This window comes from Homo sapiens, chromosome 8 (genome assembly GCF_000001405.40).
Source record: "Homo sapiens chromosome 8, GRCh38.p14 Primary Assembly".
NCBI lineage: Eukaryota > Metazoa > Chordata > Mammalia > Primates > Hominidae > Homo > Homo sapiens.
In genome coordinates this window covers 134,670,101-134,689,221 of record NC_000008.11, presented here as the reverse complement: position 1 = coordinate 134,689,221, position 19,121 = coordinate 134,670,101, and the positions used below count along the sequence as shown (strand labels likewise).

General features: G+C 43.0%; 1 protein-coding gene across 11 annotated transcripts in view, besides 5 other annotated features; it reads left to right on the top strand.

Moving 5' to 3' along the window:
- ZFAT (zinc finger and AT-hook domain containing) overlaps window positions 1-19,121 on the top strand; it is a 354,552-nt gene that overhangs the window by 143,118 nt on the left and 192,313 nt on the right. For 2 of the 11 annotated variants that reach the window (NM_001289394.2, NM_001029939.4), the window contains exon 2: window positions 14,334-14,492. The exons of 8 other annotated variants lie outside the window; for them this stretch is intronic. The gene's annotated coding sequence lies outside the window, so the exon portion shown is untranslated. Of the gene's footprint in view, window positions 1-2,327; window positions 2,430-14,333; window positions 14,493-19,121 lie in introns of all 11 variants that reach the window. One more of the 11 variants, XM_047422063.1, reaches the window with a different exon arrangement.
- Window positions 2,411-2,577: a silencer, noted in NCBI's record as "fragment chr8:135698888-135699054 (GRCh37/hg19 assembly coordinates)". NCBI's record gives its function as "represses an EF-1alpha promoter that drives an FKBP-Casp9 reporter gene in an ReSE screen in HepG2 liver carcinoma cells {active_cell/tissue: HepG2}" and the evidence as "EXISTENCE:reporter gene assay evidence [ECO:0000049][PMID:32094911]".
- Window positions 2,657-3,156: an enhancer, noted in NCBI's record as "H3K4me1 hESC enhancer chr8:135698309-135698808 (GRCh37/hg19 assembly coordinates)". NCBI's record gives its function as "activates a minimal SCP1, AML or CMV promoter by ChIP-STARR-seq in primed H9 embryonic stem cells {active_cell/tissue: H9 hESC(primed)}" and the evidence as "EXISTENCE:reporter gene assay evidence [ECO:0000049][PMID:30033119]".
- Window positions 3,157-3,658: an enhancer, noted in NCBI's record as "H3K4me1 hESC enhancer chr8:135697807-135698308 (GRCh37/hg19 assembly coordinates)". NCBI's record gives its function as "activates a minimal SCP1, AML or CMV promoter by ChIP-STARR-seq in primed H9 embryonic stem cells {active_cell/tissue: H9 hESC(primed)}" and the evidence as "EXISTENCE:reporter gene assay evidence [ECO:0000049][PMID:30033119]".
- Window positions 5,418-5,507: an enhancer, noted in NCBI's record as "active region_28018". NCBI's record gives its function as "activates an Ori minimal core promoter by ATAC-STARR-seq in GM12878 lymphoblastoid cells {active_cell/tissue: GM12878}" and the evidence as "EXISTENCE:reporter gene assay evidence [ECO:0000049][PMID:35858748]".
- Window positions 6,138-6,287: an enhancer, noted in NCBI's record as "active region_28017". NCBI's record gives its function as "activates an Ori minimal core promoter by ATAC-STARR-seq in GM12878 lymphoblastoid cells {active_cell/tissue: GM12878}" and the evidence as "EXISTENCE:reporter gene assay evidence [ECO:0000049][PMID:35858748]".

Sequence of the window (19,121 nt, the reverse complement as noted above, 5' to 3'; positions counted from 1 at the left end):
GGTGGTAACTTCCGGCATTGCCATGGCAAGGCAGTAACTTTTGGGTGTTGCCATTGCAGTGGTAAACTGTTACGCTCTGGTGGGCGTGTATTATGGTGATGGGCAGTGAGGGGTGCTTTAGGCCCCTCTTCCCAGTTCTGGCCAGTCTTCAGTCAGGTCTGGAGTTGAATCCTGCCTGCCTTCTACCTCAGTGTGATGTTAGTAAACTGCAGAAACAGGGAAAAGGGCAGGCAGCACCTTCATCTGCTGTGTGCCAGGCACTGTGCTTGGTGCTTCACTGGAATAAACTCCTGCATTTTGAAAACCCCAGGAAGCAGAGTGGGGAAACCATGGCTGGACACGTCTCATGAACAAATGGGTTGAATCCCACCTCCTGCAGCTCTCGGTTCCCTGAGGCTGCAGCAAGCTCTTATTTGGTCTCTTCCTTCTCTTGATGGGTTGAGGATGCGATGGGATAGAAAATGCGGGTAGAATTTGAGGCCCCTGAGGGAGAGGGTGGAAGTCGAAGGTGGCATGTGTGGGACCCTGAACGAGTGTTGTCTTTCCAGAGCTGGAACTGGGTGACAATTCCCTGCTCCCTCCCAGGGCTCCTGACAGCTCCTCCAAGCACCTGCTGTGGCTCAAACTCTGGAAACCCAAGTCCTGGCTCCTTTTCTTCCTTTTGTTTCCTCCACCTTCCTTCTCCCCTTTCTCGTGGCTCTTTCTTTTCTCAGTTCTTGGGATTTGGATCCCTGATTTCCACTTTCTGTCATTATTGTTGCTGTGTTGTTTATATTGTCTCTCAAAAAGCTTCTGAATTGCCTGTGTCTTTGGTTTCCCTGAAGAAAGTGTATGTTTGTGTGCGCATGTGTGCTGTATGTGCATTTGTGTATGTACACACGTTTTGCGGGTGCATGTGTGCGCATGTATATGTTTTATGTGTGTGTATGTGTATTTGTATAGATGTGTGTTAAAGGACAGCAGAAGCAACTAGGGACCCAGTAGGTAGCTTTAGCTGTCTGGCTGAACGTTTCTGGATTTAAAAAATTCTCTGTTCTCTTCAGCATCGACACCATCTTTAGCAGTCTACAAAGCCCTTTTTTCCCAGTATTCCCCTACATAACACCCCCACCACAAGATCCCCCCCACCGCCCATCAATCTTACCAGGGCAGCTGTGGTTATCTCCATTTTTGAGCTGAGTCCCTACAGATTCAGGAAGGGAAAGGTGGCTCCAGTCACACTGAAGTGGCTGATGCCATGGGGTTTGAACCAGGGCTTCTGAGCCGAGCTCAGCGCTGAGGCTGGCTTTCAGGCAGCCCTTTACTTCAGAAACAAGACGAGAGGCAGGCCTGCCCCACGGAGGAACAGAAATACACTAAAGCAACGCAGACCAACAGCTGTCAACCCGGATGTGCGGTGGTGATGGGCATTGCTATTTCTCCCCAGTACTCTAGAAAATGGGAGAGGATTTTGCTCCTTTTACTTTTGATGTGGAAATGACCACAGAGACTTGGTTACTTAGAGGCATCACTTGAGAGCTGTGGGTAGGCGGCTCTTCAGGGCCACCTCGTCAGTTTGCAAATGGGGAGCTGTCGTGTCCAGGGTCTGCAGCGGGACAGGGGGTGTTCCTGTACCCTCAGCGCTTCCCACACATCTGCTCTCGGGGTGGGGGGCTGTTCCTGTTTATGTAAAATGATTTGTGGTGCTTTCCTGAGGGCCACATTTTAAAGCTATGATTATTGTGTTAAATGTGAATGTATTCCATTGCCCAGGGGCTCTCATTTTGAGAGTGCTTAAAAATAACTTAAAAGAATTTATGCCAAGTTTCAACATGGAAGAGATGTGTATGCATAAAATTATAATGCAACTGTTGGCCCAGCCCTAATTATAGCTGATGCTGAGTATTTCTCATTTTATTTTGTTAATCCAGCTTCAGCAAAGAAACACCCACGGGATTTCTCTCTTGCCTTTAATAAACACGTTAACTGTGTGAGCTATGGGAGTTGGCATGTTCATCAGCATTTTATGAGATGCATGATAATCATTTCACAAATTAGTGGTGTGCATTTATTGGAGCTTCAGCCCACTGAGCATCAGAGCTGGAAGGGAGGCACCTTGGAGATGATTTATGGGCAGGGGAGCAGCAGGAGGCAGGAGGGTTGGTTCATATTGTGTCCCTGCAGGGTGGAGGGGAGGTGGGTGCTGGTGGGTCTGCCCCACACCCTTGCTTTGGTTGAAGATGCTGTCTCTGTCTCTCTGCACGTTAGCCTCTGCATAGGGCTTGAAGACTAGGTTCCACTTTCAAACACTCCAAGGCCACTATTAATTTGGGCTGCTCTTCTTTCAGAAGAGACAATGAGGGATAAAGAAATTCAGAGACGTATGCAGAATCCATCCATTGGAAGTGTGAGAGCCACTTAGGAGCTGGGAGGCCTGGGCTTCTGACAAGGTGGGTACCCCTCATGATGCTTCATGTAGAATGGTGCCTCTGAGGGGCCAGGCACTAAGCTAGGCACATCGTCTTCGTGATGTCCTGCCGTCCTCTCTGCAGCCCTGTGCAGAAGGAAACTGAAGCTCAGAGAGGCCAAGTGTGTGTGCGCAGGGTCACACAGCTACGAGGGCCAAAATAGTGTTCCGATCTATGTTGTTTTAAATGAGAGGTTCACTTGTGAATCAGAATATCGTTTTTTTTCCCTATATCTTTTCCTTTAAAATTTGCTGTTCACATTTTCTTAGATTAACGTGTAACATACATGTAGAGAAATATGCATAGGATAAACAGCTTAGTGAATGTTCGCAAACTGAACTCACTGCATAACCAGTGAGTAACCAGTATCACATCTGGAAGCAGAACTCCCCTGCACCCCAGAAGTCTCTGGTCCCAGCCCCCAACCCAGGATAACCAGGACTCAGGGCAGGGTGGTTGTGCCTTCCTTGTAGCCATGTCAGTGGAAGCATGCCACCTGGACCCTGGGTTAGGCTTATTCCTCTCCGTGTCATTTCTGTCACATAGAAATGTGGGCATACACGGGAAAGCCCCATAAGAGTTGAAAATAACTTACTCAGGTTGAGAATTGGCCAGGTGGCGGCCAATCTGTGGTCAGAGTTGGTCTGAGTTACCTGCTGGGGCTGGCCAGGGCACCTGAGCTGTCAGGGCAGCTGCACCCCCTCTGGGGACCAGCAGCAGCAGTGACTCCACCTAGGAAGGGCAGCGGGGTCTGGTCCTGGGCCAAGGATGTGTGTTTGGGTTGTAGCCCTGCTGTGTGCCCACCTGCTGTATCACCTTGTAATCCCCTACCTGGCCCACTTAACTCGTCTTAAGATGGGAACAGCAGCCCCTCACTTACTGGGTTAATGTGAAGGTTAAGTGGGGTGACGGGGAAGGCACCAGCCAAGAGTTAGGCAATCAGTAAATACTAGCCATGTTTTTTAAAATTATGGCCTAGTCAGATGTAGTGCCCTGGTGGGCCACTGGAGGGTGATGTTAGCACGTATATGTCGCCCTCCCGTTGATGAAGGTCTGTGCTTTCTGCTTGACAGTAACTCCCGGTGTTGTTTTGCTAAAAGACTGTCTGCCTCTTACCTGGTGGTCTGCTGTTCCCTGGTTCTGGACCTGCTGCCAACCTGTGCAGTGGGCATGCTCATTAAGTATGTGGTTTGGGGTGGGTTGGTATCACTTATATCTGGCATACTGTTATTTTCCAGCTGTTGCTCCCCGAAATGAATTGCTGTAGTAAATTATAACAAACACAGCAGAGTCCCCTTCTCCACGTAGCTACTTTTCTTAGTTGTAATTAATCATTTGAAATGTCCCTCTAACCATGACGCTGGCTGTGGGCTGGGGAGACCAAGACTTGCATTCCTCACAGTATTGCTCACTGTGAGCATTACAGGAAATAACAAGCGATTTCCTGTAGCAGGGCTAGGTACCAGGTGGGTGGGCAGATGTGGTGGTCGACTTGGTGGGTCTTGGTTAAGTTCTGGCTTTTTAATTTATCTGACTGGGGGCTCTTTGGCAGCTCACTAACCTGAGCCCCAGGTTTCTCCTCTGTAAAAAGGGGATGGTGACGGTGGTGGTGGTGATGGGGATGACACCATGTACTGGGCTGTTTCACAGGACAGCAGGGAGGGTCCAGTGTGGTCACTAATAGGAACGTCTGTGTGACCAACAGGAGGCAGCGTAAACACCTCCTTGCAGCTAGTGGCTGGGGCAGGGGAGGGTGGGGGTGCCACTTTGTGCCATGAAGTCTTGATGTCTTCCTCTCCTTCCCATGGCTGACACGTGGAAACTCCTAGAACACCAGCTCTGGGAGCTCCTGTGCCTTTTCCTGGCTGGCCTCCTCTAATCCTGGTGGGCTGTCTGCTCACCTGGGCACTCCTCGCACCCAGCCCCCACATTTGCAGTTCTGGAATCTGGCACTTTGAGGTTAGGCTGCCCACACCTGCCACACTTACCAAGTTTCTCGTTGCAATGAATGAAACTTTTGTGCCAAGAATGCCTTTTCCCCACGTAATCTAAATCTATCTTGCTACTGGTTAAACTAGTTTCCTGTCTTCTTTTATTTTTTGGGTCATTTTATCAATCAAACATACCTTTATTACATAAAGGAAGGGAGAAGTGTAAGACATATCCCTACCCTGTCCAGTCAAACATCTAATCAACGTCAAGGAGAAATACCAGGAACCCAGCAGCTGTGTCTAGAGCTGGCGTGTCCCTATGGTGTGGGCAGCCCTGGCCTTGATCTCGGTCTTGAATGAGTGTTTGGTCCTGACCAAGACAAGTTGACGTGTCTGAGGCCCAAGCTGTCTGGGGATCAGTAAGTCTTCCTCCTGTAAGATGGAGATCTTATTATTTTGTCACTTGCTATCGCTTTATTTCTAACACCCATGTAAGTGTTTTTTTAAATTTAATTTTTCTTGGATTACACATGTAATTCCTGTTGTGTAAGATGTGAAAAACTCAGAGAAAATCTCCAAACTGGAAAAATCACACTAATTGTCATCCACTTACCCAAGCCAGGCACTGGTATGGGGTGTTAGGGAGCTGGGTGGATGGGCAGAAGGTGCTGGGTCGTCTCCTCTGTCCCTTTCAATGTCCCTGTACTCTCTCTTTCTCGTGGTCTGTGTGTCTCTGTTTTTTTCAGACCAGTTTCCTTGGCTTTTCCCCTGTAAGTTAACAGCTTTCCCCTAGTCACCCAAGTGGAAAGCTTTTTATCAGAAGTTGCAAATTGGCAACCCGTAGGCCAGACCTAACCTGCAGATTTGCTTAGTTTGGTCTGCAGGGGCTGCAGAGGTTTTTTTCTTTTCTTTTTTTTCTTTCCCAGAAAAATCTTATTTGATGGCCAGTGCTTAAAAATCAGGGGATTCCAACTACAAATTCAATATTTGGGCCTCCATTGACTAGACCTGGGAGGCAGCTACCCCATCAGACAGAGCAGGCTTTCTAAGTGCCCCACCCCCTGTCTCCAGACCTCCAGGATGGGCCTCCTGCTTGCGGGGCAGGAGCTTCTTGCATCCATTTCCTGTCCAGGTACCGGTCTGTGGCGGGGGGCTCTTGGTGGAGCCGCCACAGCTCTCAGTGTGCCTGCCCTGCCTTTAACCTGTCCTCTTTCCACACTCAAGGCTCTTCCAACAGGCAAGGCTCTTGGTTCTGCCCCCACTGGCTGTGTGGCTTCCACTCCCTTCTCCTTTCCTTCCTCCAGCTGTCTGGCCACCTCCTGGAGCAGTTCAACTTCCCCTTTTCTGACAAACCTCTTCCAGGTGCTCCAGCCACAGGGATCTCTGCCTTCTCCACACGTGCTTCTGTGGCCTGTGGTTAGTATGTTCATATGTAGATGCGCACACATACAACCTGCTTTCCTACCTAATTTTTAAGCTCCTTGCGATTCATCAAGTAGCTGTGGAACCATACAGGCCTGTATTTGATTCTTAGGCAAGTTATAGCTTTCTCATCTGTAACGTGGGATAATCATATCTTTGTGTCTGACACATTAGCAGAGCTACTGTGTACAGCTGTGCAGGTTACACACTGCACAAAGGAGCCACTTCTTCTTTTGTTTTTGTATCCTCCATGCCCCCAAGGGAGCCACTTCTAAGGGGGCTCATTTCACATAGTGAATTTGTATGTTTATTATGAGTTTTCTACAAATGGCTGCAAAGCGTATTATTCCAACAAACTCAATATGTTATGACCATTTTCTGACAGGGGGTGCTAGTGTCTTAAGGAAGGGTGCGTTTGTCCATTTCTCACAGAGGTGCCTTAAGGGCTAGCAGCAACCCAGCTTGTCCAGATCAAATGTGAGAGGGAGTACGAAAGCCTCTGGTACTCAGGAAATGTTTATCTCCTCTCCCTTGAAAGTAGGGTTGTTGTGCTGCCATAGAAGTGAGCTCAGAAGCCAGGCTTACAGCCTGAGTGTGTACGGTGTGCAGAGTGGGGAAAAAGGGCCTTACAGGGGAGGGAGCCGAGGTTGGGAGCCAGGCTCTCTCCCCAGCTAACATCCAGCCTGCCCAGTTATATGGAAATGTTTCTGAACTTCATTGATTCAAAGACTTTTTAATTTAATTTAATTTAATTTTATTTTATTTTTGAGATGGAGTTTCACTCTGTCACCCACAATGGAGTGCAATGGCACAATCTCTGCTCACTGCAACCTCCGCCTTCCAGGCTCAAGCGATCCTCTCACCTCAGCCTCCCCAGTAGCTGTGACCACAGGCAGGCGCCACCACACCCGGCTAATTTTTTGTATTTTTGATAGAGACAGGTTTCGCCATGTCCCTTAGGTGGTCTCGAACTCCTGAGCTCAAGCGATCTGCCTGCCTCAGCCTCCCAAAGTGCTGGGATTATAGGCATGAGCCACCGTGCCCGGCCAGACTTAGATTTTAGCATCTCTAAGATCAGGAGGCAGCTTACAGTTGGTGTGGTGAGAAGCTAGTGTCTCTGAGTTTATTTGGCAGCGTTTTTATCTTTTTTAGTGGTATGTAAAATATCCGTGCTCCCTAAAGTAGATGCTGTCTTAGATTTGAGGAAATACAATAATAAAACCTATTTCACAGGATTGTTGTGAGAATTAAATAAGCCTCGTATGAGCCTCTGCTGGTGCCAGCTCATGGTGAGGGTTTAATTTAACCTCCCTTCTCATCGGCTTCTTCCTCTTTCAATGCCATTGTTTTGGTTACAGCAAGTTTTCCCTAAGTATAATGACGGTAATGAAGTTGATGACATAGTTTATTCACAGCTGATTAAAAGTTCTGCAAGATGAGCTAAATGGAAGGAAAATGTTTGTTCTAACCTGAGTCTCTTCCTGAATATATAAAAAAGATATTTTAAACTGTACTCAGCTGCACATATGAGACTTTATTGATTCCGCTGGATGTGACAGCAATCTGGCTTTATGTTGTTAAAATATTTCCATTCCTATTGGGAAGCTACTGGCCCTTATTAAATTAATAACTTAAGGGCAAATGAAAAACAAGAAAACAAAAGTATAACTCAGAAAGAATTTGCCACCCTACTCCTCTCCTCATAAGATAGATAATTTAATAGGATCTTAGTTTTGGTGGTTGTACTCTCTCTAAAGTTAATAAATACAAGTAAAAGATAGTTACAAAGCAGGGAGGATGATTTATACTAATCAAGGAGAAGAAGTAAGAGATGTTTAATCTAGAGCTTTTAAACAGAGTAATGTACTAGTCTCATAATGTAGCATTTTGTCTTCTTGAGGGCATTGATAAATGGTTAATCATTTTGTAATAATCAGATCATCTAGCACTTATGGAGTGCCTACTGTGTCAGCAGCATCATCGCTAAGGGGAAGCTGGCATTGGGCTGGTGAGGCTGTCACTGCAGGTAATGAGTACAGGTGGTATGAAAGGCAGTGGGCAAAGGTGTGGCAGAAGCCAGCCCTTCAGACCCTGCCTCTCCCCACCAGCTGGTGTAGAGGGTACTGGGCAGAGGTGTGGGGTCCACAGCCAGCCCTTCAGACCCCAAACCTCCCCACCAGCTGGTATAGAAGGTACTGGGCAAAGGTGTGGGGTCCATAGCCAGCCTTTCAGATCCCAAACTTCCCTCCCAGCAGAGATGGGCACATTCACTGGGCTGCATTCTGTGTGTGCCTCTGGGAGCTGCCTCCTTCTACCTTTCTGAGCCTTACATATCTTCCAGGGTAGTTGGGACTGACTGGGCTCATGGATAAGCCACCTAGCAGTGTACATGATCTTCTCAAAATTATTGTTTGTTCCAGAAGATCCAGAGTCTTTTTGTTTGCCACAGTTATTTTTTTAAATGTGTATTTTGAAATAATTATAGATTCACAGGAAGTTGTAAAGATAATACAGAAGTCTCACATACCTTTTACCCAGTTTACCCAAAAGTGGTTTACATTTTTAAAATAAATATAAAATATACACAACACAACACAAAATTTACCATTTTAATCATTTTTCGGTAGATAGTTTAGTGGCATCAGGTACGTTAGTATTATGTAACCATCACCATCCTTGATCTCTAGAACTTTTTTTTTATTATCCCAACCTAATAGTTACATCTTATGTAACTAACTATCATACAATATTAAACCAAGAAATTGGTGCCGGTGCAGTGTGTTGTGTATAGTTTGAATCCATTTTTATTGGTGTACGTTTGTGTCATTACTCCTGCAGTCAAGATGCAGCACTGTTTGTTGCCATTTGATCTGTGTGAGTGAAGTGTAGAAAGCTTCCCACCATTTACATCCTTTTACCATCCCTCATTTTTTTTAAAAAAGGTACTCAAATATGTTAATTTTATTGTTTCTCAATACACACATTTATTTGTACTGAAAATTGTAAAAGTAGCACAAAGTTTCTTTTTATTACAATCCAAATTTTTGAAAGCCAGAAAATCCAATTATTATGCTCTAGCCAAACTATCATCCAGTGCTTTCTTTACATTCTTTCCCCACAAGTGACTTTGCTTCAAATTCTTTTTTTTTTTTTTTTTTTTGAGGGGGAGTCTGGCTCTGTCACCCAGGCTGGAGTACAGTGGTGCGATCATGGCTCACTGCAATCTCTGCCTCCAGGGTTCAAGCGATTCTCCTGCCTCAGCCTCCCAAGTAGCTGGGACTGTAGGCATGCAACACCTTGCCTGGCTAATTTTTTCTGTTTTTTTTTTTAATTATACTTTAAGTTCAGGGGTACATGTACAGAACATGCAGGTTTGTTACATAGGTATACATGTACCATGGTGGTTTGCTGCACCCATCAACCTGTCATCTGCATTAGGTATTTCTCCTAATGCTATCCCTCCCCCTCCCCAACCCCCAACCCCCCACAGGCCCCAGTGTGTAATGTTCCCTTCCCTGTGTCCATGTGTTCTCATTGTTCAACTCCCGTTTATGAGTGAGAACATGCAGTGTTTGGTTTTCTGTTCTTGTGTTAGTTTGCTGAGAATGATGGTTTCCAGCTTCATCCGTGTCCCTGCAAAGGACATGAACTCATCCTTTTTTTATGGCTGCATAGTATTCCATGGTGTATATGTGCCACATTTTCTTTATCCAGTCTATCACTGATGGGCATTTGGGTTGGTTCCAAGTCTTTGCTATTGTGAACAGTGCTGTAATAAACATATGTGTGAATGTGTCTTTATAGTAGAATGTTTTATAATCCTTTGGATATATACCCAGTAATGGGATTGCTGGGTCAAATGGTATTTCTAGTTCTAGATCCCTGAGGAATCGCCACACCGTCTTCCGCAATGGTTGAACTAATTTACTCCCACCAACAGTGTAAAAGCGTTAGTATTTCTCCACATCCTCTCCACTATCTGTTGTTTCCTGAGTTTTTAATGATCGCCATTCTAACTGGTGCGAGATGGTATCTCATTGTGGTTTTGATTTGCATTTCTCTAACAACCAGTGATGATGAGCATTTTTTCATATGTTTGTTGGCTGCATGAATGTCTTCTTTTGAGAAGTGTCTATTCATATCCTTCACTCACTTTCTGATGGGGTTGTTTGTTTTTTTCTTGTAAACTTGTTTAAGTTCTTTGTAGATTCTGGATATTAGCGCTTTTTCGGATGGATAGATTGAAAAAATTTTCTCCTATTCGGTAGGTTGCCTGTTGACTCTGATGATAGTTTCTTTTGCTGTGCAGAAGGTCTTTAGTTTAATTAGATCCTATTTGTCAGTTTCAGCTTTTGTTGCCATTGCTTTTGGTGTTTTAGTCATGAAGTCTTTGCTATGCCTATGTCCTGAATGGTATTGCCTAGGTTTTCTTCTAGGGTTTTTATGGTTTTAGGTCTTATATTTAAGTCTTTAATTTATCTTGAGTTAATTTTTGTATAAGGTGTAAGGAAGGGATCCAGTTTCAGCTTTCTGCATATGGCTAGCCAGTTTTCCCAGCACCATTTATTAAATAGGGAATCCTTTCCTCATTGCTTGTTTTTGTCAGGTTTGTCAAAGATCAGATATCTGTAGATGTGTGGTGTTATTTCTGAGGCCTCTGTTCTGTTCCATTGGTCTATATATCTGTTTTGGTACCAGTAACATGCTGTTTTGGTTGCTGTAGCCTTGTAGTATAGTTTGAAATCAGGTAGTGATTTCAAAGCCTCCAGCTTTGTTCTTTTTGCTTAGGATTGTCTTGGCTATGTGGTTTCTTTATTTGGTTCCATATGAAATTTAAAGTAGTTTTTTACAATTCTGTGAAGAGTCAATGGTAGTTTGATGGGGATAGCATTAAATCTATAAATTACTTTGGGCAGTATGGCCATTTTCACAATATTGATTCTTCCTATCCATGAGCATTTTTCCATTTGTTTGTGTCCTCTCTTATTTCCTTGAGCAGTGGCTTATAATTCTCCTTGAAGAGGTCCTTCACATCCCTTGTAAGTTGTATTCCTAGGTATTTTATTCTCTTTGTAGCAATTGTGAATGGGAGTTCACTCATGATTTGGCTCTCTGTTTGTTACTGGTGTATAGGAATGCTTGTGATTTTTGCACGTTGATTTTATATCCTGAGACTTTGCTGAAGTTGCTTATCAGCTTAAGGAGATTTTGGGCTGAGACAATGGGGTTATAAATATACAATCATGTCTTCTGCAAACAGAGACAATTTGACTTCCTCTTTTCCTAATCGAATACCCTTTATTTCTTTCTCTTGCCTGATTGCCCTGGCCAGAGCTTCCAGTACTGTGTTGAATAGGAGTGGTGAGAGAGGGCATCCTTGTCTTGTGCCAGTTTTCAAAGGGAATGCTTCCAGTTTTTGCCCATTCAATACGATATTGGCTGTGGGTTTGTCATAAATAGCTGTTATTATTTTGAGATACGTTCCATCAATACCTAGTTTATTGAGAGTTTTTAGCATGAAGGGCTGTTGAATTTTGTCGAAGGCCTTTTCAGCGTCTATTGAGATAATCGTGGTTTTTGTCATTGGTTCTGTTTACGTGATAGATGATGTTTATTTATTTACGTATGTTGAACTAGCCTTGCATCCCAGGGATGAGGCCAACTTAATCGTGGTGGACAAGCTTTTTGATGTGCTGCTGGATTCGGTTTGCCAGTATTTTATTGAGAATTTTCGTATTGATGTTCATCAGGATATTGGCCTAAATTTTTATTTTTTTATTTTTTATTTTGTCTCTGCTAGGTTTTGGTATCAGGATGATGCTGGCCTCATAAAATGAGTTAGGGAGGATTCCCTCTTTTTCTGTTGTTTGGAATAGTTTCAGAAGGAATGGTACCAGCTCCTTTTCATACCTCTGGTAGAATTTGGCTGTAAATCCATCTGGTCCTGGACTTTTTTTGGTTGGTAGGCTATTCATTACTGCCTCAATTTCAGAACTTGTTATTGGTGTATTCAGGGATTCAACTTCTTCCTGATTTAGTCTTGGGAGATGTATGTGTCCAGGAATTAGTCCATTTCTTCTAGATTTTCTAGTTTATTTGCATAGAGGTGTTTATAGTATTCTCTGATGGTAGTTTGTATTTCTGTGGGATTGGTAGTGATGGCCCCTTTATCATTTTTTATTGCGTCTATTTGTTTCTTCTCTCTTTTCTTCTTTATTAGTCTGGCTAGAAGTCTATCTATTTTGTTGATCTTTTCAAAAAACCAGCTACTGGATTCATTGATTTTTTTGAAGGGTTTTTCGTATCTCTATCTCCTTTAGTTCTGCTCTGATCTTAGTTATTTCTTGTCTTCTGCTAGCTTTCGAATTTGTTTGCTCTTCTCTAGTTCTTTTAATTGTGATGTTAGGGTGTCAATTTTAGATCTCTCCTACTTTTTCTTGTGGTCATTTAGTGCTATAAATTTCCCTCTACACACTGCTTTAAATGTGTCCCAGAGATTCTGGTATGTTGTGTCTTTGTTCTCATTGGTTTCAAAGAACATCTTTATTTCTGCCTTCATTTTGTGATGTACCCAGTAGTCATTCAGGAGCAGGTTGTTCAGTTCCCATGTAATTGAGCGGTTTTGAGTGAGTTTCTTAATCCTGAGTTCTAATTTGATTGCACTGTGGTCTGAGAGACTGTTTGTTATGATTTCCGTTCTTTTGCATTTGCTGAGGAGTGTTTTACTTCCAATTATGTGGTCAATTTTAGAATAAGTGTAATGTGGTGCTGAGAAGAATGTTTATTCTGTTGATTTGGGGTGGAGAGTTCTGTAGATATCTATTAGGTCAGCTTGGCCCAGAGCTGAGTTCAAGTCCTGGATATCCTTGTTAATTTTCCATCTCATTGATCTGTCTAATATTGACAGTGAGGTGTTAAAGTTTCCCACTATTACTGTGTGGGAGTCTAAGTCTCTTTGTAGGTCTTTAAGAAGTTGTTTTATGAATCTGGGTGCACCTGTATCGGGTGCGTATATATTTAGGATAGTTAGCTCTTCTTGTTGCATGGATCCCTTTACCATTATGTAATGCACTTCTTTGTATCTTTTGATCTTTGTTGGTTTAAAGTCTGTTTTATCAGAGACTAGGATTGCAACCCCTGGGATTTTTTTTTTTTTTTTTTTTTTTGCTTTCCATTTGCTTGGTAGATCTTCCTCCATCCCTTTATTTTGTGCCTTTGTGTGTTTGCACATGAAATGGGTCTCCTGAATACAGCACACTCTTTATCTAATTTGCCAGTCTGTATCTTTTAATTGGGGCATTTAGACCATTTATATTTAAGGTTGATATTGTTATGTGTGAATTTGATCCTGTCATTATGATGCTGGCTGGTTATTTTGCCCATTAGTTGATGCAGTTTCTTCATAGCATTGATGGTCTTTACAACTTGGTATGTTTTTGCAGTGGCTGGTGCTGGTTGTTCCTTTCTATGTTTAGTGCTTCCTTCAGGAGGTCTTGTAGGGCAGGCCTGGTGGTGACAAAAATCTCTCAGTGTTTGCTTGTCTGTAAAGGATTTTATTTCTCCTTCACTTATGAAGCTTAGTTTGGCCGGATATGAAATTCTGGGTTGAAATTTCTTTTCTTCAAGAATGTTGAATATTGGCTCCTACTCTCTTCTGGCTTGTAGGGTTTCTGCCGAGAGATCCGCTGTTAGTCAGATGGGCTTCCCTTTGTGGCTAACCCGACCTTTCTCTCTGGCTGTTGCCTTCATTTCAACCTTGGTGAATTTGATGATTATGTGTCTTGGGGTTGCTCTTCTCGAGGAATATTCTTAGGGTGTTCTCTGCATTTCTTGAATTTGAATGTTGGCCGGCCTTGCTAGGTTGGGGAAGTTCTCCTGGATAATATCCTGCAGAGTGTTTTCCAACTTGGTTCCATTCTCTCTATCACTTTCAGGTATACCAATCAAACGTAGATTTGATCTTTTCACGTAGTCCCATATTTCTTGGAGGCTTTGTTTGCTTCTTTTCACCCTTTTTTCTCTAATCTTGTCTTCTCACTTTATTTCATTGAGTTGATCTTCAATTTCTGATATCCTTTCTTCTACTTGATCGATTTGGCTATTGATACTTGTATATGCTTCATGAAATTTTCGTGCTGTGTTTTTCAGCTCCATCAGGTCATTTATTTTCTTCTCTAAGCTGGTTGTTCTAGTTAGGAATGTGTCTAACCTTTTTTCCAGGTTTTTAGCTTCCTTGCATTGGGTTAGAACATGCTCCTTTAGCTTGGAGGAATTTATTACCCACCTTCTGAAGCCTACTTCTGTCAATTTGTCAAACTCATTCTCCGTCCAGCTTTGTCCCCTCGCTGGCGAGGAGTTGTGATCCTTTGGAGGAGAAGAGGCTTTCTGGTTTTTGGAATTTTCAGCCTTTTTGCGCTGGTTTCTCCACATCTTCGTTGATTTACCTACCTTTGGTCTTTGATGTTGGTGATGCTGATACTATTCCATTCTGTTTGTCAGTTTTCCTTCTAACAGTCAGGCCCCTCTGCTGCAGGTCTGCTGGAGTTTGCTGGAGGTCCGCTCCATACCCTGTTTGCCTGGGTATCACCAGTGGAGGCTGCAGAACAACAAAGATTGCTGCCTGTTCCTGCCTCTGGAAGCTTCGTCCCAGAGGGGCACCTGCCAGATGCCAGCCAGAGCTCTCCTGTATGAGGTGTCTGTTGGCCCCTACTGGGAGGTGTCTCCCAGTCTGGATACACGGGGTGGGGAGGTCAGGGACCCATTTGAGGAGGCAGTCTGTCCCTTATCAGAGTTCAAACGCCATTCTGGGAGAACCGCTGCTCTCTTCAGAGCTGTCAGGCAGGGATGTTTAAGACTGCTGAGGCTCCACCCACAGCTGCCCCTTCCCACAGGTGCTCCGTCCCAGGGAGCTGTGGTGGGCTCCATGCAGTTCGAACTTCCTGGCAGCTTTTGTTACACTGTGAGGGTAAAACCGCCTACTCAGGCCTCAGCAATGATGGATGCCCCTTCCCCCACCAAGCTCCAGCATCCCAGGTTGGCCTCAGACTGCTGTGCTAGCAGTGAGAATTTCGAGCCAGTGGATCTTAGCTTGCTAGGCTCTAGGGGTGGGACCTGCCGAGCCAGGCACCAGAGAAAATCTCCTGGTCTACCGATTGTGAAGACCATAGGAAAAGCGCAGTACCTGGGCTGGAATGCACCATTCCTCCCGGTACAGCCTCTCACGGCTTCCCTTGGCTAGGAAAGGGAAAATCTCCCGACCCCTTGTGCTTCCCAGGTGAGGCAATGCCCCACCTTGCTTTGGCTTGCCCTCTGGGGTACACCCACTGTCCAACCAGACTGAATATGATGAACTGGCTACCTCAGCTGGAAATGCAGGAATTACCCACCTTCTGCTTCGCTCTCACTGGGAGCTGCAGACCAAAGCTGTTCCTATTCGGCCATCTTGCCAGCTACCTCAGTTTTTTCTATTTTTAGTAGAGACGGGATTTCACCATTAGGCCAGGCTGGTCTCGAACTCTTGACCTCAGGTGATCTGCCCACCTCGGCCTCTCAAAGTGCTGGGATTATAGGCGTGAGCCACTGTGCCTGGCCTGCTTCAAATTCTTGATGTTGGGTTTCCTGTCACTGACTTTAGGCTTCTAAAATACATGGGAATACTTATGTCCTTTTGGTGCTTTTTTAGATCAAATCAGTAAGTAGAGCTAAAATATACTGAGGTTATTCAAATACATTCAAACTACACAGATCACTTATAAATAACTGGTATCATGGTAGGAAGGAAAAGATACAAGCAGACAGAACACATCATAGAATTCATTATCAAAATTATTCGTATATAGTTTATTCTAGCTATATATCCTGCTATGTAAAATTACCAGCAAGAAAGAAAAGTACAAGAATAAGGTTTATGGCTGAAGTGACTTGGTGTCATAATCCCCAATTCTAGCATTCTCAGAAGGATCCTATCTGTTAAATATGCAGAAACTGCAGCAACATTGGAATGGTTTACTTCTTCATTCATTCTGAAGTCCTTTAAGTTGAGTGTTTGTTAGTTCTCTTTCAAGCCTAGGAACTGTGCTGAGTAATGGGTATCTCAATTTTGCCATTCTTTCTTTCTGCACAGATAGCAGTGTTTTTACTCCTCTACTCTTGTAAAGCAAGTCATCTCTGATTTACTTGAGGATCATTGCTCTTGTATGCTATTGTTGGAGTGACTATTGTTGGGGTGAACCTGTGGTAGAAGGGAAGGGAATTCAGTACAAGGGTTGAGAGTCAAGTTATGAAGGTTATCAACATCTCAGAGCAGAAGTTTGAGAGGACTCCCTCCCTCATTCATGGTATAATTGTTGTATTTCTTCTACATACATTGAGAACCACTTCCCACAGAGATAGGCTTTTTGTTTCAACCGTCAAACGTAATTTAGAAGACTTAAGAGGAAAATCTGGTGTATTTACCCATATTTTTATACTTTCCCTTCTTCTTTCTTTTTGATGTTCTAAGATTTATTGTTTTTATATTTTCTTCCTGTTTAGGGAACTTCCTTTATCCATTCTATTAGGTTATATCTACTGGTGACAAATTATGCCAGTTTTTCTTCCTTTGAAAATATCTTGATTTCCCCTCCATTCCTGAAGGATATTTTCACTGGACATGGAATTTTAGGTGGACAGTTCTTTTCTTTCAACATTTGAAAAATGTTGTGCCATTTCCGTCTGAGTTCCATTGTATATGATGATAAATCTGCTGTCATTCACATAATTTTCCTCTACAGACTTTTTTTCATTACTTTTACATTTTTTCTTTGTCTTTAGTTTTCAGAGATTTGATTATGATGTGTCTTGGCATGGATTTCTTTTTTTTTATTATTATACTTTAAGTTCTAGGGTACATGTGCACAACGTGCAGGTTTGTTACATATGTATACATGTGCCATGTTGGTATGCTGCACCCATTAACTTGTCATTTACATTAGGTATATCTCCTAATGCTATCCTTCCACCCTGCCCCCACCCTACAACAGGCCCCGGTGTGTGATGTTCCCTTTCCTGTGTCCAAGTGTTCTCATTGTTCAGTTCCACCTCCAGCTTTATGCCTCCAGCTTTGTTCTTTTGGCTTAGGATTGTCTTGGCAATGTGGGCTCTTTTTTGGTTCCATATGAACTTTAAAGTAGTTTTTTCCAATTCTGTGAAGAAAGTCATTGGTAGCTTGATGGGGATGGCATTGAATCTATAAATTACCTTGGGCAGTATGGCCATTTTCACAATATTGATTCTTCCTATCCATGAACATGGAATGTTCTTCCATTTGTTTGTATCCTCTTTTATTTCCTTGAGCAGTGGTTTGTAGTTCTCCTTGAAGAGGTCCTTCACATCCCTTGTAAGTTGTATTCCTAGGTATTTTATTCTCTTTGAAGCAATTGTGAATGGGAGTTCACTCATGATTTGGCTCTCTGTTTGTCCGTTATTGGTGTATAAGAATGCTTGTGATCTTTGCACATTGATTTTGTATCCTGAGACTTTGCTGAAGTTGCTTATCAGCTTAAGGAGATTTTGGGCTGAGACAATGGGGTTTTCTAAATATACAATCATGTCATCTGCAAACAGGGACAATTTGACTTCCTCTTTTCCTAATTGAATACACTTTATTTCTTTGTCCTGCCTGATTGCCCTGGCCAGAACTTCCAACACTGGGTTGAATAGCAGTGGTGAGAGAGGGCATCCCTGTCTTGTGCCAGTTTTTAAAGGGAATGCTTCCAGTTTTTGCCCATTCAGTATGATATTGGCTGTGGGTTAGTCATAAATAGCTCTTATTATTTTGAGATACGTCCCATCAATACCTAATTTATTGAGAGTTTTTAACATGAAGGGCTGTTGAATTTTGTTGAAGGCCTTTTCTGCATCTATTGAGATAATCATGTGGTTTTTGTCTTTGTTTCTGTTTATATGCTGGATTACATTTATTGATTTGTGTATGTTGAACCAGCCTTGCATCCCAGGGATGAAGCCCACTTGATCATGGTGGATAAGCTTTTTGATGTGCTGCCGGATTCGGTTTGCCAGTATTTTATTGAGGATTTTTGCATCGATGTTCATCAGGGATATTGGTCTAAAATTCTCTTTTTTTGTTGTGTCTCTGCCAGGCTTTGGTATCAGGACGATGCTGGCCTCATAAAATGAGTTAGGGAGGATTCCCTCTTTTTCTATTGATTGGAACAGTTTCAGAATGAATGGTACCAGCTCCTCCTTGTACCTCTGGTAGAATCTGGCTGTGAATCCATCTGGTCCTGGACTTTTTTTGGTTGGTATGCTATTAATTATTGCCTCAATTTCAGAGCCTGTTATTGGTCTATTCAGAGATTGAACTTCTTCCTGGTTTACTCTTGGGAGGGTGTATGTGTCCAGGAATTTATCCATTTCTTCTAGATTTTCTAGTTTATTTACATAGAGGTGTTTATAGTATTCTCTGATGGTAGTTTGTATTTCTGTGGGATCGGTGGTGATATCCCCTTTATCATTTTTTATTGTGTCTATTTGATTCTTCTCTGTTTTCTTCTTTATTAGTGTGGCTAGTAGTCTATCAATTTTGTTGATCTTTTCAAAAAACCAGCTCCTGGATTCATTGAGTTTTTGAAGGTTTTTTTGTGTTTCTATCTCCTTCAGTTCTTCTCTGATCTTAGTTATTTCTTGCCTTCTGCTGGCTTTTGAATGTGTTTGCTCTTGCTTCTTTAGTTCTTTTAATTGTGACGTTAGGGTGTCAATTTTAGTTCTTCCCTGCTTTCTCTTGTGGGCATTTAGTGCTATAAATTTCCCTGTACACACTGCTTTAAATGTGTCCCAGAGATTCTGGTATGTTGTGTCTTTGTTCTCATTGGTTTCAAAGAACATCTTTATTTCTGCTTTCATTTAGTTATGTACTCAGTAGTCATTCAGGAGCAGGTTGTTCAGTTTCCATGTAGTTGAGCGATTTTGATTGAGTTTCTTAATCCTGAGTTCTAGTTTGATTGCACTGTGGTCTGAGAGACAGTTTGTTATAATTTCTGTTCTTTTACATTTGCTGAGGAGTGCTTTACTTCCAACTATGTGGTCAATTTTGGATTAAGTGTGATGTGGTGCTGAGAAGAATGTATATTCTGTTGATTTGGGGTGGAGAGTTCTGTAGATGTCTACTAGGTCCACTTGGTGCAGAGCTGAGTTCAATTCCCGGATATCCTTGTTAACTTTCTGTCTCGTTGATCTGTCTAATGTTGACAGTGGGGTGTTACAGTCTCCCATTATTATTGTGTGGGAGTCTAAGTCTCTTTGTAGATCTCTAAGGACTTGC